Source organism: Homo sapiens, chromosome 4 (assembly GCF_000001405.40).
Source record: "Homo sapiens chromosome 4, GRCh38.p14 Primary Assembly".
Lineage (NCBI taxonomy): Eukaryota > Metazoa > Chordata > Mammalia > Primates > Hominidae > Homo > Homo sapiens.
The window spans coordinates 20,266,369-20,290,572 of NC_000004.12; the positions used below are offsets into that span (position 1 = coordinate 20,266,369).

Below are 24,204 nucleotides of genomic sequence, written 5' to 3' on the forward strand. Positions count from 1 at the left end.
GGATGTTGATGGAATGGAAAGGAGGAAACTATTGTCTGGGGCATGTGAAAGCAGGTTTGACAGCCAGAGAATGGCATCAAACCCAAGGCAGGTGCCTCAGGGAGGATGCCAGAGGAATGTTGGCTTAATATAAAATGTAAATGCTAGGGCCTTGCTGAAATATATCAAAATACTAAGAGAACAATCTGTTCTCATTCAGCATTTCCTAAGAACCTACTAAGGGCCAGAGATTAGGGAATGTTGACTGAGAGCAGGCTGCTCTCTTTGGCTTTTCATATGGTTCAGAACTTACTAAGTGCCAGGGAAGAAGGGAGGGAATACAAAGATTTAGTCTTTATGCTTGAAGAGCTCACAGTCTAGTGGGAAAGAGACCAGTACATGAATAAATATTACACAGTGTAAGGGACTCTTGCTTATCAAATGCTGTGGGGACACAGCCAAGAGAAGCACTAACTTTTTGTAGGAGAATCAGGGGAAGGTTCACAGAGGATGTAAGAAAGCACCATTTGGAGAAAAGGAGAAGCACTTCATAAAGAGAACTGCCTCTGCAGGGCCCAGGGGCTTGCCGAGAATGCTTGCTCTGGCTAGAGAATAACAAATGAGGCTGGTAAATCTCGTGGTTTGGATTACATCATGAGAGCTCATTTCTGATGTTTTAGAAATTGGAATTGGCTCTTTGGACAATGGAGGTCCTTCCAAGAGTGGTTGCATTCCTAGAAAAAAATCTCATTACCACTGTTGCAAATATGTGTAATATATTTTTAGAGGGAAATACAACAAAGTAACAATCTGCATTTCATTGAAATTGTATAATGCTAGACTCTGGAAGTACACTGTCTTCAGAATCATACCTAACAGAGAACAAATAAATGAAAGCTTTTGATTTGACTTTAAATTTTACCTTGTTATGTGCTTCATTTAAAAAATTAGCGTGTAAGTGGGAAGTAAATTCACTCCTTTACCACTAATTTTACTATTTGCCTCTACTTGTCTTGGCATACTTTTTTTTATTAGTATGCATTTTATTAAGGCCTGAGAATGTTTCTGTAGATGATCAACTTCTTTCTGAGTTCACATAAAGTTATGGTGCCATCATTGCTTCATGGCATTTTTTAGAATGGAAAGAAGTTCTGAAGTTTACCTGGTCTCGCTTCTCACTTACAGGATTTTAAAAAATTATATCATTTTCCAAAAAAAATTCATAGCCTCTGCTTGAATACATTTTGAGATAAGCAGTTGAGAGTTTCCATTTCTTAATAGCTAATTCTTAGAAAGGTCTTCTGTATAATCAAATTTCTTAGGAGTTACAATCAAGGGGCCCATTTCTGCCCTCTGGAGACTAAATAAGTATAATTCTGCATCTACCCGATGACCCTTGCAATATGTCAAGATTGATATGCCCTCTTTTCCTGTCCCTTTTACTATTTATCTTTAAAACTTAAGAAATACCTCTGGTTTCCTCAGTGTGACATTACCTTCTGGAACTATATCCAGAAACTATACTATATAATATGCCTCTACTCCTCTCGAGCTAGGCAGCTTGTAAGTCATTTGAGTGCAAAATGTTACATCAGCTCTTTATCGTTTTATTTAGATTTGGGAAAAGCAGAGAAATAGACAGTTATTTTAAATTAAATGTTAAATTGTACACTGAAAACAGATGGGATTGGGATATGACTACATCACAGATAGTATTTACCCACTCTTTCTTTAATAGGTGTGCATACCAAGCATCAGGGCTTAAATTGAGTTACAGTTGCAATCACACTCTTTTCTAAAACATTTAAAACATTCCAATTTACTTAGACATTTTAAAACATTACTGAAACTGATTTGACACAACTGTTAGTTATAATGCTGAGCCTTAAATTCAGTTAAGGGTTGGAAGCTGTGGGTTGAGGTTTGAACTCTGGGTTGGTATTCTCCTGATTTTGCCTATGGGACAAATCATGCTGACAATTTCTCACACCTTTTTTTTTTTTCCTCCCAACTAAATGAAAAGCTAAGAAAGTTGAAATTTCCATCTCCCCACAATTCCTTGGCTGAACTTTTAGGCCAATTGGGACTGTGTATGGATTATTTTAGACACCATTCACTGTGGTATTTCTGCTGGATATTGAAGTCACCTACCTTAGGCGCCTAAGACTGAATCACAAAAATCCTTTATCATTGTGTGTATTCTGGTTGACTGATGTTGCACAGGATTTCAGTTTAAAGTTTAGACCCCAGTAATCATCATCTTAGTAAGCACAATGGAAAACTGCTGTAAAGAGTCATGTAACAAAAGGTGTAACCAACTTTTGATTTGCAATGCTTGAATTCTCCTGAATGTCATTTCATTCTTTTCTGAAATACAGGATGAGGCATGACACTACCAAATCACAGTCTCATTGTTGGGTATTTTCTATGTAACATAAGCTTTGTTTTTGTTTTCTCAAAAGGCGTTTAAACAGAAATCACCTTCAGCTGTTTCCTGAGTTGCTGTTTCTTGGGACTGCGAAGCTATACAGGCTGTAAGTAGACACAAATAGTTATTGTTGCTTTGGGTAGTACCTTGTGTTTTATTAAATGTATTTTGGATCTGTTTGTGTGTGCTTTCCTGGAATCTGTTCATCAATAGATTAATGGATTAAAAGTTTGTGTTTTTTCTTTAGGAAATTTATGATTTGTTTTCTAGTGGTTCCAGTTGTTTTATTTGGTTAGGATTTAGCGGTTTATGTATGTGTTATGGAAATTGGATTATTATTATTTTTTTGGTAACGTGATGATGGCGAGATTTACCTACCTTTTAATGGAAATGTTTGATTAAGTTCTGAAGGGAGAAAATTGCTACTGTTTCCTCTTAAGAGGAAGTTGGCAGTGTGTTCTTATAAAGTTGAGATTTTTAATGTCAGCTTTTTTGGTATTGTTTCTGGGCTCAAGTAGTCGTGTTTATTAGTCCGAAATATTATTATAAGGTATTTAAAGAGGGCTGTAAATTTCCTCTTAAATGTTTCCTTTAAAGCCACAATTTCAGCCTCTGCAATATGAATGACTGTATGGCAAGGTTTTCATATCAAATACGTCATAGACTATTAAAGGAAGTAATTCCTTAAAGGAGCATAATGTGAGTATTAGGGGGAATCACTTTTTCCTCCCTGGAATGCTTTTGCACTGACCTAATGTGTAATAGTGAAAACACATTTTGAAAGCATTTAAAATGAGATTTTCAGCCATATGAAATGACTTTGTGCAGATGGGAGATAAGCTACAAAGTTTTGGAAAAATAAATAGCAATGATTATTGAGGTATATGCATGTTGTGAAAAAAACTGCTGGAATGTATAGAGTAAATTGCTCCATTAGCCCCCACCTGGATGGTGGGTGTCCCATATGGTACTGTTTGTAGAGAAAGTGAGCATAGTTCCTTTTTCTGAACTTGTCTTTGTAGCCTACTAGTTCAATGTGGTTATCAATTCCAGAAGTAGGAGGACTGTCCTCTCACACCCTTCACCCCCAAGAATAGCCAGGATCTTTGTTACATCCTCCTGAAACCTTAACAACCTTAACTTACTATAGGGAGATATTCCCCAGCTGACATACCAGATCTCTCCAGAGTCTTTCCTGACTTTGTTCCTCTAAGGATAGCTAAAATCACCTGACATTTTTCTCTTCTTTTTTGTGTTCCCTGCTGCTCAATTGGACCAATTTAAGTAAATTTTAAAAATAAAATGAAGAAACCTTGGAATTGCATTTTTAACAAAAATTATCTAATAACTATTTTTACTTAGGAAATAGGGTGTAGGTTTGCTATAAAGATTATAGGTATGCATATCAGTAGATAATTATATCTAAATATTTGTGCTTAGTTTCTAAAAAGGGCCATAGAATTGGTTTTGATAGTATTTCACTTTCACCTTTAGTTATTGGTGACTGAGGAGATTTTTAAGGAATCGACTTGGATTAATTTCCCCCAGTTTAAGGTGGTATAATCCATTGCAGAATCCCTCATCAGCAAATTATATTCTCCTTGACATTTTGCCATCTTTGACAATATCTCATAGCAGACCAAGAGATTTTCTTTTATGTTTTGTTATGATTTTATAACTGTATGCAGCTGCTGTATGAAAAAAGACTTGAAATCTTTAAGTGAATTAAAGAAACAGAATCCATAAAACCTATGACAGCATTTCCTAATTAATTAAATGCGTGTTGGAAAATGGGGAAACAGGCAGCTAGAAAATGTGTTCAGATTTTTTTATGTGTCTTTCTGGCTCAAAGGATTTGTCCTGGGGAGTAATAACAGCTAAAGCAGTGTTTGTTAGGTGGAGCTAGTTACAAGAGGGATGTGAATATTTTTATGTTTCAGGAGTTATATAACTTGATGGCCTAGCACTCAATATTGACAAAGTGTATCCCTTTACATGAGATTTGACATCAGATTTAGGCACTGGATGTACATAGAAAACTAGAGGTGGAATTTTTATTTGCATCCTCACGTCAGGAATCTTAATTTGAGTTAAGGAACTGTTGCTTCATCTGAATTAGACTTAGGTGAATTGTTGAGTGCTTTTTCTCTCGAGAGAATAAGTTATAAGCTGCATGTGACCACTTGTTTATGATGGTGATAATTAATTAAATTAAACAACTGCCATTGGAAGTCTTTAATAAACAAAGGAACACGTGCTTGTGAAGCTCACTACTGGCTAGTGTAATTATGAAAAGCAAGGGTACAAGTTCACATTTTCTCACATGATACAGATGCCAAGTAGCTCACCTGAAACAAATATTCTAGCAGATGGGAAAATGTGCACAAACCTATATGCACAACATCCTTTATAATGCTCATTTAAAAACATATTTTTTTCACAAGAAGAACAAGTGACAGAACAAAGGATATGGAATTTTTGACAAATAATGGGGAAAAATGATAGGACAAGGAAAGTATTTGATAGTTGATATATATATGATCGTTTTATAAATATGTGTAAAACAATATATAAGTATTCTATAAATATATATTTATAGAATATATGTTTTGACATTTATATAATATATAATTATTATACATAGTATATATTTATATGTAATATAATATATAATTAATTTATATATAATATTTATATATAATTTATATTTATATATTATATATATATATATAGCAAGCCATAGTTGCCCCTACTGTCTAATGCAGTAGAGGCATACTATATGCAGAACTCATAAAAAAACAAATTTAGGATTTACTTCCTCTGTATAGGTTGTTCCGAGATACGAATTAATGTTTCAATTTCTTTTCTTAGTTATTGTATACTTTATTCATACTTAACACTATGTTTTCCCAGGTATATCACTAATAAAAAAGTTTACTGGTTTAATACATAGTTTATACACTGAAGTTTGATTTTTCGCATTGTTTGCTTAGATTAAAGCTAGTTGGATATACTGGACATTGTGTTGCTTTTCTTTGAGCTTTGGAATAAATAATCGCCCTTTGACTAGTGGTTGAAAATAAGATGCCAGGGGAAGAAGCACACATGCTTTTCATGGACTCTAAATGCAATATAAAAGAAAAGGAGGGTATACTGTATATGAATTATGATTCGACACACTTGGTTGCTGCTAGCGGCCAAATATGCTTTTCCTTTGCTGTCTGCTCCAATTTCTCTTTGGACGGGTTGAGAGAGCACTACATGTTCAGGTCAAGATGTTTGCTCAGAAATAGTAGTACAGTTGCAGCTGTGTTTGTTGGAGTAGGAGACTAGTTTAAATAGCATTACCATTTATCCAGTCCATTAACAGAACTCTGTAAAATAATACCAACTCTGCATAAACTACAGGACAGTGTAATAAAATTACAAGCACTTGTTGACAGATGGAAAGTGCAAGTCCAGGGAAACTAAAATAAGGGACGATAGGTTGGAGGTTAAAAAAAAAAAAAATAAGCCAGCATGAAGTTTTCTTAACTTATAGACTCTATCTTCCCCTTTGCTCCTCCTCCAAAATCAAGGTTGCATTTTTATTATGAACCTAAGAGTAGAGGAAATTATTTTTAAAGAAATCTGGAGCTGGTTAACTGAAGAAGAGATTGCAGGGAATTTTGAAACAGTTGATTATGATTGATTGAAATTTATGAGTACTAATACAAATCTTCCTGATAAGTGTAACCTTAAAAGAGGCTTAAGAGTAAGTGATTCACACTTTTTGATGAGTTTGCGACTACTAATCTGGACTCATTAAAGAGGAATTTCATTGGTAGTACTGCGGTTAGGCATTTGGTTATAAATATTTGTTTTGTGGTTTTCGGTTTATTTCTTTGAGTATATTATATTTACTGAGACTTCTAACGTAAGCTTAAGTATCCAAAGCACTTTTTAGAAACTCATTTTTCACTTTTATCTGCCAAACCAAACCAAAACTAAACAAACAAACAAAAAGAACTGCATCTGTCCCAGGGACTCATTTTCTCTACTTCTTTGAATGAAAACTTTTTACTTCTGGTTCTCAAGTGCCATTCATGATTCCCCAGTGAGTTTTGGAGCGACTAAATTATCTAACATTAGGAATGGTATTTTTAAGGCCAAAGACTCTCTTTATGGCCTAGTGAATACTTACCTGAGACAAATAGGTTTTGACTGCTTAATTTCATTGGCCAGGTCATAATTCATTATCTCTCAGATAGGATTTCAGATTCTCAAAATTGCTTTTGATAACTATAATAATTGGGACTTTCTTAAGAGGAAAACTTAATTTTTTTTATTAAGGTAATCAATTAATTTGTTCAGCATAACAAATATATATAATTAAGCTGTCTTTATTTTCCTTTCCATCACTGCCATAGAAGGAGACTTATTTTTTTTTAATAGTTATAAGAGTAACACATGCTCATTGTAAAAAAGATCTAGGAAATTCAGAAAAAAATAGAAAATAGGAAGTAAAAATTATCTATTATCTCACTACGCAGATATAGCCATTATTATACTTATCAATTATTATCTTAGAATTATTTTTATGATTATACATATAAGTGCTACTTAGACGTGTATTATGAAAACTTTTTTTTAATGTCCCCAGGGTCTAGTATAAGGCTTGACCTTTAGAAGCTCTCATCAAGTGTTTGATGTATTGAATTAAATCTCTGTTGGGTTCAGGGTTTGTAACTTGAATGAGCAAATAGTAACTCTGGGACGGCATTATAAATAATGGAGAACCAAATTAAATTTAAAGGATAACTTGGTCAATTAAATGTTTGATTCCCCTAGGTTTCTCAAACATTGAAGTGTTTCAGTAGACATAACACAATCAAAATGATCCATTTTTCACCTAAGCAAAATATACCTTAATTTAATAAAATGTTTTATAAAACGAACTCCCTAGTTCTTGGATGTCAGTTTAGTCTCATAGGTTTCTTGGAGTCAACCATGAAAGCAGGATACAACAGAGGAGCCCATGTACAAATTTCTCTTGAATTAATTTCTGCCAGCTCTGATTAAAGTGTGGACTACTAGAGATGTCAGGTGCCATCGTTTCCTGCTTCATTTTACTCTTGGCCTGTTTGGCCCCTGCCACAATAAATCCGACTGTGATTGTGCAGGAATTGCAGGTTACAGTTGCTACGGTTACTGTTGTTCAGCCAGACCGACATCATTACTCATCTAGCGCGCTGCCATGATAGCTACCGCTGATTTCTGTTGCTGAGACTGCCAAAGAGCTTCATGTGCTAAGGGTGAAAGTTCCGTCGAAGGTGGCGTCTGTGTTCTAATTTGGTGTAAGGAAACACTATCTGAATTATATACTGATACTTTGCTAAGGGGAACAGATTGACTCTGTATCGAGAGAGAAAACTTAGAAAAGTGTTCACTTTCAGTGATTAAAACACCAAGTCCTTCATTACTAAGGTAACTTTTTAATTACTTATTGGGCCCAAGGGACTATGTTTTTGCCACTTAAAAAATAGAGGCATACAAGGAGTATTGCATTTAAAAAAATTACCACTATTTAACCAAAACTTTATTTTCAAATAGATAGGCAACAGACTTGATATATGGACATCTGAACACAACTCAAAATAGCCATTACCACTTGTCATGAAAGAAAGAAAAGTGCAAAGCCCTGAGCAGGACCTACTTCTACTTTTATTTTTTAAATCAACGTGTAATCCTGTGATTTAAACGTCCTAAATCCAATGAAGATTAAGATCATATTTGAGATTTTGCCAGATCTAGTGTTGATGGTTTTTACTTCAAAGGAATTACTAATAGACTTGTTGCTAAAGAAAGCTAACAGTTGTCCGGTTTCTGCTGTTACCAACACACAGAGTGGACCTTCTGAGTGTGAAATCCACAGCATAGCTCATAGCATAAGAAAATCAAATGCAAGAATGCAAGAAAGTTTCTGTGTTTTTTTTTTTTTCACTCAGCTGTACTTATTTAAACGACTGCTTTCACAAGTGCAAATGTTTCTAACTCCACCAACAAGTACTTATGGACTGCCAACTTGAATTTGTAGAATACTATGATCAATGCTCAGAAGGGAAACTAACAAAATATGTGGCTCTATATAATATGTGGTATTTGTGGGCCTCAGCTGTTGCTAACGTCTGACCTATACTGCGTGAATTAATGCCTAGAGAGTTCATTGAGAGTGATCAAATATGTGAATTTCAGTCTATCATATTCATGTAAAAAATATATCGTATACACATAATCAGGTAATATTTTAAAGTTTTTAAATAATGAAATTGCCACTACAATCTCAAGGTTACAATTTTGGGGACTGAAATTTACATAAACATTATTTCTAGGAATAAGGGTTGGTAGGGTTTTAGTTATATTTAGGTAATTTTAATGTATTTGCTTTATGTTTTAAGACACTGAAATCAATTTACTTTCTATCTTAAGGGAGGTTGTGTAAAATGATAGTGTTTAAATGCCTACTCAGATACTTGCAGTTCTGTTAACTTTGGAAGTCAGTAGACAACCGTATTGTTGAGGTTTCTTATCTGTAAAATGGGAAGGATCATACAATTTACTTTCTGGGGATAGCACAGTAAAATTTAGATTCCATATTCAAAGGAACATTGTAAATTTTCAAGTATGATAGAAACTATAATTATATTATTGTCATCCTTTCATTGCAAGCAAGATGGAAATGATAGTCACTCAGATGTCCTTGCAACTTGCCCTCAGTCAGCAAAGTTCCTGATACTATTGCACAGCCCTCTTGCATTTATCCTTACTGTAGTAACACGTAAATATGTGTAGTCACATTAATTATCTTACCACAGCAAATTGACATAAAATGTGCATTTGTACCATGTTATTTCTCTTTACTTGGCTGCAGAAGGTACATTAGGGCCAGGATATTCTTAATGAGATCTCTTCATGCTCTCCCAGTTGATGATTCATATAGTTTTAAAATTCATCTATAAAATAAATTACAGATAGAAACAAAAAGACTGTGACTCAGGAACTATTTGTTAGTGCATATATTTAGATTGCTGTTTTAATGATGTGTTTTTCTGAATGACAAATGAAGGAAAAATACAAATGTTAGAAAATGCTGAGTAAACTCCTTAAACTATAGGTAAAGTATTCTGAAAGTTGTTCAGAAGATTTACATATGTTGCTAAGGAACACTTTCACTACTAATAAAAATTTTATTTTTTAAAATAATATAAGATTACTCTGTTAGCTTTGTAATATGTACATATGATTTGATCTATGGAACATTGTCATCTTTATATAAATTGCATAGGTGATTTTAAGTGTATTTTTAGACTACTAATTATGTCAAAATCCAGTAAAAATTGCAAATCTTTTAGCACTTTAAATCTAAATAATGTTACATTATGAGACAAGTTTGAACCAGAAGTCGTTTTGTTTTGTTCTTTTTTCCACAATTCCAGTACTTCTCAAAGTAGCATAGATCTATATGGTGTATATCCACTCATTACATGTTACCTATAACTGAGTTGATTATAATCACTGAATTTTTTCTGGAGGGTTAACCTTAAAATATTTTATAAATTTTGATATAAGAAACCTTTGGATGGAAGTTTTAAAAGAAACTAAATCTTAGAGAAGGAAGCAGTGAAGAGTAAAAAGACCAGTCCTTGACAACACCTATGGCCTAGGGTACAGCATAGAGGTGTGAAATGTTATTAAGAGAACATCTGTGTCTCTTGAAACATCCCCCAAATGAAAGTTTATAGCAAAGTATGGCAACTTGATTTAAGTGTTAAAAACAAAACAAACAAACAAACAAAAACTTAAAAGAGAAATAAGTAAATCTGGAAACAGAATTGGAAAAAATAGCTTTGCCCCATCATGATAGGTTTCTTCTGCTAGTGAAAGATTAAAGCTCGAAGTATGTGAATAGCTGAGAACAGCACAGAGAAAGGTTGATTGCTTCCCCTCCGACAGTTCCAATTGATTGAAAAAAGCCTAATTTAAAGTTCTGTTTGTTCTATGTCTTAAACCATCAGAATTCTCTTTTGGGACCTGAGGAATGCTCTGGAGGAAAAAGAATCCAAGGATAAAAAGTCATTGCAAGCCAACAATTGTTCCTAATCCTCACAAAATGCTGGAGAAATTAAATTTATTCTTTATTGCTCAAAGTGTTACCTAGGTCACTGGGCGATGGGAAAATTGGACTGGAAGTCGAGTAGGCGCAAGCTTTGTTTTGTGTCTAGATGCTTAACCTTAGACACGACAAGGCATCTTAGAGTGTTGTGGGAACTTGGTTCAGAGCATTAACACCAAGACTTTTATTACCCCGGATTTATAATAGGCTGTGCTGTCAGGAGATGAAAATGTTGTGTTTACATTTCAGTGTTAAATGATCATTTAATTAACACCTAAGGGGAAAAAAAACTTGTGAAATTCTTAGCAGCTTTTATTGTTGGTTTCCTGGGAGGTTTTAATATCCAAGTTTCATTGAGAATTTTTTTGTAAGTAAAGACACAAAAGACATTATAAACTTTTTAAGGAAGACAAACAGTTTAACCTTGACCCTTTAAAAAAATATTAATTTAAATTAAATTTTAAATCTGGTGTTCTTCTCATAAGTTTCTAGACTAATATATTAAAATACATTTTGATTGGACACTACTTTTGTGTAAACAGTATATAAATATGATTGAATTTACATTATACATTTTCTAGGGTAAAACATTTGAAATTACTGATTAGTTTATCTTAAGAAGTTTAAAATGTTTAGAACACTGACTTAAACATTTTGCATCTGTTAAACTACCACTGTAGTTACATTGTTTAGAATCTGCCTCAATGTAGGTATTCATATGCAAGCATATTCTATTGGTAAGTTATGTCATTATTCTATTATTTTTAATCATTAATTTGGATATAGCTACATCATGATGAAAGATTTTCATCATGATGTAGCTATATCCAAATTAATATATATATATATACACACACAAACACAATAGGGAAGAATAATGCCATTAATATGAAAACTCAGATTCACTTAATTAGAAATAACTAAAAGATTAGACGTCATAAAATGCTTTTATTTACTCTTGCTCTTTTATGAGACAGTTAACCAAAAAGGAATGGTCTTGAGGCAGAGTGATAACATTTGGAAGATGTAATGTGTACTGTCAAGAGTAGCTGCATAGTTAGTAACACTTTAAGGGTACCTCTCTAAAACTATCTTTAAAGTTTACATCTTTTTTATTCCCATTTTATCTGAATATGAAGCTTTATGTTCAAATATATGAAACTTAAAAAAAATTTACCAGTTTACATGCTGTTAAAGTAAAATCTTTCTTAATTTTTCCAGAAATGAACATGTCATTATGATGTAGTCTTTTTCTAAATACACTGTTTATGTTCACACTGAAACAGAAATGCTTATCTGTTTTTTTTTTTGTTGTTGTTGTTTAAATTCAAATGCCTCAGGATAAAACCCACTCTCTGTCTTATTCATGATAAAGAAGTGCATGGAAAATGGAATGTTGTTAAAATCTCTCAATAAAAAGCCCTGCTTTTAACTAAGGATTATACCCTCACTTACAAAACACTACTGAGCAATTATGTAGGCACTTTTTATGATGTTATATGCTCTACTTACTTCTATCAAGTTTCAACCTTTCTGCAAACTTTCCTCATTTTTTTTAACACACTTTGATCTTTTTCTTCCCAAAGCGACTTTTCTACCCAGCCTCTTGTCACAAAAACCCAGAAATAGGAATATCGCTTTAAACATTTTATCTTCTTTACGTAAGGACCAACCTTCTGGTTGAGTTAGTTGCAAGACAAAACAAACAAAAACAAAAACAAAAAAAACACAAAACATTGTCCAGAAGTATAAAAGAGTGAAAGACAAGAGAAAGAGAGGAGTAACAAAACCTGGTTATTTAATATAATAGCCAGGGTATTCTAAATGGTATAGTTTGTCATACCAACTGATATTCCAAGCCAATTGGGTGATGCCAGTGGTGGGGGGCGGTGGGGGGAGGGCGTGTGGAGGGGGAAGCGAGAGGTGGGCATACTGAGTGCTTAAGAAACGTACAGAAGAAGAATAAGTATTTAGGGAAATTATAGGAAATTCCATTTAACATAGATACATGTATTTCTTTTATACTAAGGAAGTCAATGCTGTGCTTTTATACGGAGAAAGTCAGTGTTAAAATTTCATACATTCCTTTTTTGAAATCTCTGCTCAGAAACTAAAAAGAAATATTTCAGTATTTATTTTAGATAAACTCTCCAGGCTTGCCTCTTAAAAAAAATAGGAATAACTTCTAAATACAATCTGTGCTAACAAATATATTTGACAGTTACTCTAAGTCATTTCATGTATTGAGGTTGGGAAATAAAATATCGAGAAATACTCTGTATTGTACTTGGCAGTGATTAGTTAAAATTAACCTCCCATTTATATCACACTCTTTCACTTGGCTTTGATGACCCACCATAATGTAGTTCTGCATTACCTCTTCAACGTTATCATGCTATCATAGCAGATCTACCGTATCTCAAGCAAGCAGATTTTCCCATTGCTGCCTGGAAATTCCCAGCATTATTTCTGGACTTCTTTCTTTCCTCCTTCCTCCTCATATGGGCCTCAGCTCCTCTACTAAAGCTTTCTCAATGGTTTTAGTTACCTCCACATGATCATTCATTATAATATGGTACAGACTATTGATTCTATGGTACATTATAATGTGGTACAGATGGTTGATTCAGACCACCTGGGTTTGAGTCACTGAATGTGTCATCTTGGGAATATCACTCAATTACCTGCCAAGCGCCTCAGTTTTTCCTTGTGTAAAATGAGGATACTAGGAGTATGTTTCTTATGGAAGTGATGTGTGGAGTAAATTATTTCCTAAATGAACTGAGCTTACTATGGTACTTGGCATATAATAAGTGGCATGTACTTACTTTTTTTGCTTCCTTTTATCATTAAAACTGTATCACTGTTTCCTGTCCCATATAATGGGTTGTCACATATAATTCTTTAATCGTAACCTGTGTATTAACTTTGCCAAGATTCCTGTCTTATATTTGTCCTTGTTTCATATGTAGCATCCAGCCTAGTACAGGTCGGCTAATAAATATCTTTTTGATGAAATAGTTGGAAATTAAGCCTGAGAAAGACACTACCAATAGATTGAATTTGGGATGATATATGTTGAGGTGTGAAAAAAGCACTGGATCAGAAGCCAAAAGGCTTTTACAGCTGGGCATGGTGGCTCATGCCTGTAATCCCAGCACTTTGGGAGGCGGAGGTGGGCGGATCACGAGGTCAGGAGATCCAGACCATCCTGGCTAACACAGTGAAACCCTGTCTCTACTAAAAATACAAAAAATTAGCTGGGCGTGGTGGCGGGCGCCTGTAGTCCCAGCTACTTGGGAGGCTGAGGCAGGAGAATGGCGTGAACCTGGGAGGCGGAGGTTGCAGTGAGCCGAGACCGCATCACTGCACTCCAGCCTGGGTGACAGAGCGAGACTCTGTCTCAAAAAAAAAAAAAAAAAAAGAACAACAACAAAAAAAAACCAAAAAGCTTTCACTAGTTACATTCCTAGCTCTGCTGATCACTAGCTGCAGTTGCTGAGCAAAGATACTGGCTTTTTTTTGAGGATCAGTTTCTGTGTTTATATATGAGTATGTAGTAAGTCAGATAAGAGAGGGACCTTGCCCAATGTGTTCACCATCCTATTACCAGAATTTAGCAGAAGGCCTCCAAGCCTCTAGGGAATGTGTGAAGATAATTGAGGGAAAGGAAGGAGATCAAAATACATCTAAGATGTGTTCTCTCTGTTTTTCAAAAATTTACAGGGAACTCTACACAGGCCCTGGAATAATTACAGTGGTGGAGTTATTCATGGTAATAAATCAGGAATTAGATAATTAGGTTGTGGATAAGTGATTTGAGATTATTCTCTCTATTATTAGCTTACATTTTGAATGGCTTTGCTATTAAATGTGAATTGTTTGAAGGCTTATATTAAAAAAATGTTTTTTTTTTTTTTTTGAGACGGAGTTTTTCTCTTGTTGCCCAGGTTGGAGTGCAATGGCGTGATCTCAGCTCACTGCAACCTCCGCCTCCTGGGTTCAAGCGATTCTCCTACCTAAACTTCCTGAGTAGTTGGGATTACAGGCATGCGCCACCACGCCCGGCTGATTTTTGTGTTTTTAGTAGAGATGGGGTTTCTCCATGTTGGTCAGGCTGGCGTCAAACTTCACACCTCAGGTGATCCGCCCGCCTCGGCCTCCCAAAGTGCTGGGATTACAGGCGTGAGCCACTGCACCCAGCTGGTTAAAAAAATGATTAAAGGAGATTTGATGCTTATGCCTTATTAAGTGGTGATCTTGATACTTGATAATCTCTCAATATGAGGTAAGTGGTGTACAACTGAGGTAGTTTTAATAATCACCTGTCTCTCAAACATCGCTAGTGGTAGCATGAAGAAATAAGTTAAAAATTAAACAGGGCAAATCAAGATAATATAATGGATTTGGTTAATAAAGGTTTATATGTTCATATTTGCGTTATAATTTTTTTTGTAATAGGTTGGAAGCAGGGACCATCATTTTCTGTAATTCTCCCTAGGAAATGCATTGTGCACCCGGGACAATTCATTTTCCTGACTTTTTGAGGAGAACAGAATGTGTGGAACCTGAATACCCTGAAGGCAAAGGAATCTGGAGTCTGTTTCTAAGAGGAGAGCTTCTCTCTGACTTGGTGTGGGTTTTCTTTCCCTCTGTTGAAGGGGAATGAATTCCACACCTAATGAATAGTTTCAAGGAAAGTTGTTAATCAGGTACTCCAAGTGACCACCCTGGATTCTTCTTTTATTACACAGGAACGTGAGGGAATGAGAAAGCAGCATAGTTACATTTGATAAAAGGAAATACTCTTTCTCCTCTCCCCTCCCACCACACCATCCCTTGGAATTTAGTTGATGTGGGAAATTACTGCAGCAAATAATGTGTTTGAAAAAGCAAAGTTGTATGAATGAGAATAACGCTTGTAGCTACAATAATTATGTTAAAAATTCACAAGGTATATCCATCATCATATTTCAGAGCAAGAGTTTTCGTCTAACGAGGTTGGAAAAGAATTTTTCCTTAGTTCTTGTCAATCTCCCAGGGAAGCATGGCATGCAGGAATAACTGTTGTTACCAACATTATATTTTGTGCTTTTCTGATTCATCAGAACCTTTCTGTTGCCGTAAAATGGGAAACTTCATCAAAATCAGATGAAGAACTTCAAGTAAATGTGACAGAGGGGTAATAATGAACTATAAATATAATTGATTTTTATTCAGATGGACAAATGTTATTCTTTAATCCTTTCCCATTTAGAAGCCATACTCTAATTTAAAAAGAGAAAAGTGGTCTCTAATTTAAAAAGAGAAAAGTGGTTTAAAACAACAACATTACAGTCCAGATATTTCTCTGTCTTCTAAATTAAGCCACCTGGGTTGAAGAACACTATTCAAGTGTGGGTAAACATGTTTTGATAAAAAGTTTTGTTATTTCCAAATAACTATTATACCCCCAATCATAAGTGTGATATCTATTACCAGATACTCATTTGGGTTGTTTTTTAAAAATAATATGATTCAGTTTTAGGTTTTTAAAAGTATAGTTCTTATCTTCAATTCTCAAGAATATGTAATACCTTTTATTTATTACTATACTAATTTTATATTATATTTCAAAGAAGTGATACCTCCAGTGTGCACTCCAGTGGTTCAAGAGAAAAGTGTTCTGTGGTCAAATGTGTTGGGAAATAATGAAAGTCATATCACCTGTGGTGGCTACAGTGTACACTTGTGTGTTAATCTTAAAGGCATACTACAATAAATAAATCTGTTTAACCTTTTAAAATTTGTTTTTCAAAGTTATTTAACTATAGAGGCCTCTCTTCTTTCTTAACTATTCCTGTTTGTTCTTGTTAATCCAGAGAGCAAAACCAGTTTTTAGCTTTTCCAATGAATAGTTACTTTTTATTACTTCTGATTGAGATTTTATTAAAGACCATTTAGGACATATAGGGTTGACATATATTATTTTTTTTGTGCCAGCGTTGTCACGTGTAAGACTTTTAATAGTGCATTGGCTTATAAATCTGTTCTTTTCAATCCATCTTTGAAGGTGAACTCGGCATTCTGTTGTAGCCTTGAGAAATAGAAGAACTTAGAATATTTTCTAACAATTTCATTAACTTAGCACCACTATTTGCTTTAGGTATTTGTTTATATGTGTGTGTTGCCTGTGTGCCTGTGTGCGCGCGCGCACACACACACACACACACACACAAAGTCATTCAACTACTATTTTAAGGACTTTAACATTTTATAGCTTAACTGTCTCTCTCTTCCCTGCCTCAGCCAATTGAAGCACCAGAAGTCCTTTGTGGAACACCTGCTGTGCACAGCATTCTTTAGCAACACAATGAGGGGTGCATCATCTAAGCTGGTGTGAACTTGCAGGAGTCTTTCTCACTCTATAGAGAGGGTGTTGGAGCCAAAAGCTTTTATTTTATGTACAATTTGGAGATGATTGGTGGACTTTGAAGTCATTGCAAAACTAATTTGTTCAGTATTTTTGCCAAGACCAATCTTTCCAGTATTAGAAGACAAAATAACTTAGATATGAGGGTTTAGACACAGGAAAAAAAACAAATGGAAGAAATGATTATAAATCTCCAAAGGCAACTTTTAAAAATACACCTGAATGATGCTTCTCACCAGGACACTTAATATTAATCATTACTGAAAATTACCATCTCATCTCTTAGTTCCCCCAGTAAGTTGCTTTGGGGTCACCAATTTTTATTTATTGTTAATATTGAGAGAAAAGACACAAATGAAAACAGAATCATAAAATTAGAGTATGACTCAGTCAAAACTATTTCAAAGCTTGATATTAAATAAACAATATAAATAATTTACTTCAAATTATACCCAATATTTGCACACACATTTAATCTTCAGCTTTTACTGTGCCTAAAGATCTATTCTTAATCAGTTTTGGCTCCCTCTTCTTAAAGAAGCAGAATACCCAAACCCTCCCATTCCCCTTCCCTGATCTATTCTTCTCCTTTGGTTTCCATACCATGTATATATCGCAGTGTGTATTTTGCTTATGTTGTCTTTCAATTCCAATTAATGTGGAAGCGTTGTGAACATAGACAGTAACAGTAGATGTACAAGAAATACAGGTTGAGTGAGTGAATGAGGGCCTTCCAACAACCTGCCAGAATTGGAATCCTAGCTCCAGTGTTTACTAGGTGGGCAACTTGCTGCCATTCAGAGAATGCCACCACCCTGCCTGGAGAATGGGGCCCCTTTCCTTGTGTTGCTGTGCAGTACCAAATGATGGACACCTTCCCATATGCAGATGTTTTCACTTACTTTTTAACATAATGAATCCACAAACCTCTAGCCTGGGGACTTAAAAATGTGCTGCTTTAGTTAACTCTAGTGTATTATAGAAACTGCTAATTCTTATATTGTCATTATTAGCTTACTAACCAAATCCCTTCCATAGGTTATACATTCTGTGAGGGTTTGGACATACATATGCCTCTCCCTTCACCACAGAGCAGTATTCACATGCACTGAGTGCTCAAATATTCATAGGTTGAAGGAAAAGGGTAGGGAGAACAAAGGAACCATGGAATCATCCTTCATGGTAAATAAGCGAAAGACAGCATGTGAAGCATCATCTTTTTAATATCTTTGCGTATGTTCTTTCTTGATAGTGTTTGAGTTTAAAAAGAATAGCCATCAGTACACTTGTTCAGTCAATATATCTAAGCACTTATGCATAGGTGACTTTTTGTACCAATGCTTTGACTGTAATATATTAATTCTGTTTACAAAATCCTGAAGAAAGGGCTGTCCTACAACACTTTTTATATTATTTGTCAGTTCTCTCCCAATGTTTTTACCCATTTATGTGTGTGAGAGATTTTGTTTTGCTTAATTTGCAAATAAAACAATATTACTACAAAATTACTACAAAGTTGAAATTGCTAATGTAGTAGGAAACAAATGAGGCAGATGGTTTAGTCTCATCATTTTGTGTCTTTACATAGGTTTCTAAGGGATAGCTTACATCATTTAGTGTGCTTCCACCATTCTTTGCCATTCTAGGGCATGTACTTCTGACATTTTTATTAGGCTTTTGTGTTTGGTCACTGTATTACATCCAGCAATTTATTCCTTTCCACTTAAATTGTCTTCCCTGTACAAGGGGTGGAGAAGAATTCAGTGTCTGCACATAAAAGGCCATTATCTTATCTTAGCAACTCCAGCCATACACTCCTCTGTGAATCATGACAGCTCAGCTGGGAAATGCAGAACTGTATCATAAGAGGGCGAGATCATGGGAGTGAGACAATGATGAGGCCTATGACATTGGAAGGTGGTGAGTTCATCATCTGCAACAAAGATTAACAACCCTTTGCTGAGCCTGACCTGATAGGCCATTTAGTGGAAAGACCAAAGCTTGCATCCAGGAAGTGTGCTCTGCCTATGATCTTGATTTACCTGTAGCTTGTAAAGACTACTCAGGTGATCTCATTGTTATTTTTCTTGCCCCAAATCAGAACACCTCCTTTATCAGAAAACTGAGATAAGCACACTGACACTGATACTTCATATGTATTGCAGCAGGCAGGCTGTAGGGCAAATACATAGAAACTTTTGCACTTTACTCTTTTATTTTTATTTTTTCTGAGACGATGTCTTGCTCTGTTATGCAGGGAGTGCAGTGGTGTGATCTCAGCTCACTGCAACCTATGCCTCCTGATTCAAGTGATCCTCCCTCCTAAACCTCCCAAGTAATTGGAACTACAGGCACACATCACCACGCCCAGCTAATTTTTGTATTTCTTGTAAAGATGGTGTTTCACCATATTGCCCAGGCAGGTCTCAAACTCCTGGGCTCAAGCAATCTACCTGCTTCAACCTCCCAAAGTGCTGGGATTACAAGCATGAGCCACCATGCCCAACCTGCGTTACTCCTAATACAGTCTTCATTCTACAAAGAGAACTATTTTCTGACTGGAGGAAGTGGTGATGCTGAGGATGGAGTCAGTTGTGTAGCTCTCATAAAATGAGAACATGATCCAGAGGCTCTTCCAAGTGCCTTATTTATATTAATAGTGCTTCATTCGTTTTTCAATAATATGGAGGAGGACCAAATTACGGATGAGAAAACTGACACCCAAAGAGATGATGTAATGCCCACATGGCAGGCTAGCATTTGAATACAGTGCAGTGTTCTTTACCATGTATATTAACTGTTCTGGGGATAAGAGGGTCTTTTAATTAAATAAAAACACTATACAATGTGTAATCCTCATGGTAATCTCTTTTAAATCCTCACCTCACTTTATGCATCGTTAATTGTGCATAGGTGCTTACAGGGAGCTTGTTATCCTCTCTCCCCCACCCTCATCCCATCATTTTCCAAACTTGAAGTTTAATGTCACTCTTGGCTCCTTTTCCCTTCCTTAGCTCCACTTTCAACTTCTGTCAGTTCTACCTCCACAGTTGGTTCATCCGTCTTCTCCTTTCCCTCTCAGTAATTTGCTTCCTAACTGTACTTCCTGCTCCTGTATTTCTTTATCTATACAGTCCTCTGCCTAATGGCCAGAAGTATCCTCCTAAAGTACAGCTAGGAGGCCAGGTGCAGTGACTCATGCCCGTAATCCCAGCACTTTGGGAGGCCGAGGTGGATGAACACCTGAAGTCAGGAGTTCGAGACCAGCCTGACCAACATGGTGAAACTCTGTCTCTACTAAAAATACAAAAAATTAGATGGGCGTGGTAGCGTGTGCCTGCAGTCCCAGCTACTCGGGAGGCTGAGGTGGGAGAATCGCTTGAACCTGGGAGGCAAAGGTTGCAGTGAGCTGAGATCGTGCCATTGCACTCCAGCATGGGCAACAGAGCAAGACTTCATCTCTAAGTAAATAAATATAGCTAAGATCACGTCCCTTGCCCAAAGATCATTTTGTATACAGGCACAGCAGTTTAGATTTAATAAAACATTTTTCCACGCATTACACTCAAAGGTACTCTGATAAATATGTATCACCATCTCAGTTTTATAGATGAAATAACTGAAGCCTAAAGTGGTTATCCCACTTACTAGCCCACCTTTCTAGGGCTAGTAAATAATAAAACCATTATTTTCCTGTAAACTTACCCAGCTGCTGTTGTCTAAACTCCTACACTGGCCTTCAAGTTGTCTAAGTGGTCTCAAGCTATTGTTCTTATTTCCTGGTGTTTTCTCACTGTACCATGGACTTCAGGAGTGACTCAAGGAAGCTAGCTACTCTTGAGCCTATGGACATGCCTCTGATATTTCTTCTGCCTTCTTCACCAGTAAACGTGTATTCACTGCCCAAGAACTAGATCCCGCTTTCTCTGCTCTACTGACCTACCTGATTGAACCCAAGAAGCTGTGACCCCATTTATGAAATCAATGCCACAGGCAAGCAATGCGCCCCATTAGGAAGCCTCTCACAGTGGAGAGTCTAGCAGAGAATATCTCTCTTCCCTGGAGTGTTTCTTCCTGCTCCTTCACTGCCTGACAACACCTCCCATCCCCTTTTTTGTTAACAGGATGTCTTATACATCTCAAAGGAATGTTCTAACAGGGTTCATATTTATTTATCTCATTATCACCTTAGGTCTTGGTCCTTAGTTGGAACTTTTTTGTTGATGGAAAGACTGTACCTGATAAACTCAAATGTGTTTTTCTCCTGTGAGGCTTGTTTGGAGGGTTTAATCTGAGCCTATTCACTCTTCAGTTGTGCCTAGAAGCATCTCTCCATTGTCTCCATAGTTTTATGTAAAAATGATCATATAGTGAGTATATCCCTATCTCTCTCCTTCTAGAATTCAAGCTACTGGTGGCAAATTCTAAGTATTTTTCATCTTTATGCTTCCCACAGCACTTAATATAGGGCTAATAAGCACATAGGAGAGGCTGGATAAATACTTGCTAAATAAATTCAATAAGGTCTTTTCTTAAAAACAATTTTCTTTAAAAAAAAAGCTATGTATTGATGTTTAAGTTTTATAAAGACTTCTCATTCTTTTCCTCCAAGTCAAATTTCTTTTATTGAAACAGAAAACTTGCTTTTGAAATGAAACAAAATTTCAGTAACATGGTATCTGATTTTTAAACAGCCTATATAGTTGCACATAACAGAGTGTGTTTATGTGTGCAAATTAGTAAGTCGATAGAATTTCCAGGTAAACAATCATGGCTGTTATTGTATGCCATCACGTTTATTATGGAAACATATTATTGTAATTTATCTGGGAATTTAAAAAAACAGTGTGTGAGTCAGCACGCTGTGGTACAGAGCCAAGTTTTTGTGGGCAAACAGGGTGGGATTCCGATCTTGGCTTCAGCAGTGTGGTGTGTAGGCCTGGGTTCCTCACCTGTGGATGGACGCTCCTTACCTCATTGGCTTGTTGTGAAGATCGAATGAGTCTGTGAGGTCAGTGAAGCACTTACACTTAGTAAATTCTCAATAAATATTCACTGTGATGTTTTTTATTAGAAACACTGACACATTACTGAGTGCATGTGCTCTGCACGTGTGCATGACAATGAGGAAATTTCCCTTTAATTCCTGAAGTGCTGGGTGATGATCTATACCCAGGATAATTTTTCTAGTAAATCAGCTTATTGGGGATGCCTATGGATAAAGCCCTTCACTTTTAAGGTATTCCCTTTAATTTAACAATAAGACATAAAACATTGAAGTATACAAAATGAACGGCTATGGTTAATGGATTACCTGCAAATAAATGACACCTGTCCAAATCTGGCTTCAATAATAAGGGAATTCATCACTTTACAAAAACAAGAAGTTCAGAGGTAGGTCAAGCCATAGCTTTTAGTTACTTTCTCCCTCTTCATTTCTCCAGCCTCACTGTCAGTGTCCAAAGGCTTTGCTCCTGGTGTCAAAACAGCCATCAGTGTGCCTTGTGCTTCCTGGTTCATAGTCAGTGAGAGAGAGAAGGGAAGAAGGGAGGGCAAAAGAGAGCATAGGAGATATCTCCCCTCAAGATGGACTTCAAGTCTCTGTTTTCAATTGAATTGAACCAACTTAGGTGAAGTTGCCAAAGAAAGGGCATGTGTTGATTGATTTAAACTAGTTGAGATACGTCTCTAGACTTTTGCATGGTTGTGTAAGTGAATCAGGTCAGGACTCTAATAGGACAGAGAAAGGTGGGGCAGGGGGTGCTGATGCATGTGGGGAAGTAACCAACAATGTCCGTACTCTCCAATTAAGAACTTAAATTTTAATATTTCATCTGATTTTTGCCACAGGAATTTGAATCAGTTTTCTGTTACAGCATTTTTAATTTTTGTGAATAAAATGGAACCTCTTAGAATTTGGTTTCTTTGTGACTCATTTCCTCATAGAGGGATAATAAAACTCACATTTCCAGTTTTGAGATGACTATTAAAAAAAATCTGTGTATGACCCAGTGCCAGCAAGCCCAGCTTGCTTTTTGAGTAGTTACTATTGTTGTTGCCATTGCTATTTTCTTGGTCAGGATGTCTTTATTTTATTTTGTCTCATCTAGACTCCAGTTTTCTATTTCCAAATTTTTACATTATGAATCCACATGGGTGCCTTATCACCTCATCCAAGAAAAAAACCCATGAAGGTGTGTTTTCTTTTTAACATTTTATAAATTATATGCTCATACAATCTCATAGAGTTCTCACAGAAACCCTATGGTGCAGATGCTATTTGTGCAATTTTAGAGATCTCTTTATCTGCCTCCTTTAAACTATGAGCTTCATGAGGACAGAGACTTTGTTTTGTTCACTGTTGTATCCTTAGTATTCAAAATAGTATATCACACAAGGTAGACTGGCAGATGCTCAATCAGTGTTTTCTGAAGAAAGGGAGAGAGGGGAGGAGGGAGGAGCCCTTTGTGACCTACAGAGGTTGGAGGGCTTTCCCAGTTTGTGACATTCTAGTTAAGATATAAACCCTCATTCGTAGTGGGCCTCTGAGGCCTGTATACCCTGCCTCTCTACAGCTTCATCTTGCTTTCTTCACTCTGCTGTCTCTGTCTGTGCTCCAGCTGCACAGGCATATGCAGTTCCTACGATATGCCTCCCTCTACACCGCCACAGGGTCTTTGCACATGCAGATTCTTTAGCCTGTGGAACTGCTTGCTCTACCTGCTCATCTCCCAGTTGCCTCCCTACACCTGGCCATTCTCCCATATCCCTGCTTTACTCTGTTGAGAACCTTCATATTCCAGCTTGAACACAGTTTTCTGGGAAGCCTTACCTAATCCCCCAGGTTAAACCATGTTCCCTTTATAAATCCCCACAGCATCAGGATTCTTTCCTCAACTGTTTTTAAATACAGTCAGCCCTTCGTGTCTGTGGGTTCCCCATCTGTGGATTCAACCAACAGCAGATCAAAAATATTTGAAAAAATGAAAAAGAAATGAAAAATAACCATTAAAAAATACAAACCAAAAACTATACAGTATAACAACAATTTGCATAGCATTTACATTACATTAGTTACTGTAAGTAGTTTAGAGATAATTTAAAGTCTATGAGAGGATGTGTTAGGTTCTATTCAAATACTAGGCCATGTAAGGGACTTTTGCATTCTTAGAGTTTGGAATCCCTATTAGCCTAGAGCACGGGGTCCTGGAACCAGTGTCCCATGGATACCAA

At 36.0% G+C, this 24,204-nt stretch overlaps 1 protein-coding gene across 7 annotated transcripts in view, besides 1 other annotated feature; it reads left to right on the plus strand.

Annotated features, from left to right (window-relative positions):
• The window catches only part of SLIT2 (slit guidance ligand 2), a 368,657-nt gene that overhangs the window by 14,464 nt on the left and 329,989 nt on the right, over nucleotides 1-24,204 (plus strand). For all 7 annotated transcript variants that reach the window (XM_005248211.3, XM_006713986.3, NM_001289135.3 and 4 more), the window contains exon 4: nucleotides 2,442-2,513. In XM_005248211.3, coding sequence (XP_005248268.1) covers nucleotides 2,442-2,513 — 72 coding nt within the window. The remainder of the gene's footprint in view (nucleotides 1-2,441; nucleotides 2,514-24,204) is intronic.
• Nucleotides 16,554-17,171: an enhancer, noted in NCBI's record as "NANOG hESC enhancer chr4:20284545-20285162 (GRCh37/hg19 assembly coordinates)". NCBI's record gives its function as "activates a minimal SCP1, AML or CMV promoter by ChIP-STARR-seq in naive and primed H9 embryonic stem cells {active_cell/tissue: H9 hESC(naive and primed)}" and the evidence as "EXISTENCE:reporter gene assay evidence [ECO:0000049][PMID:30033119]".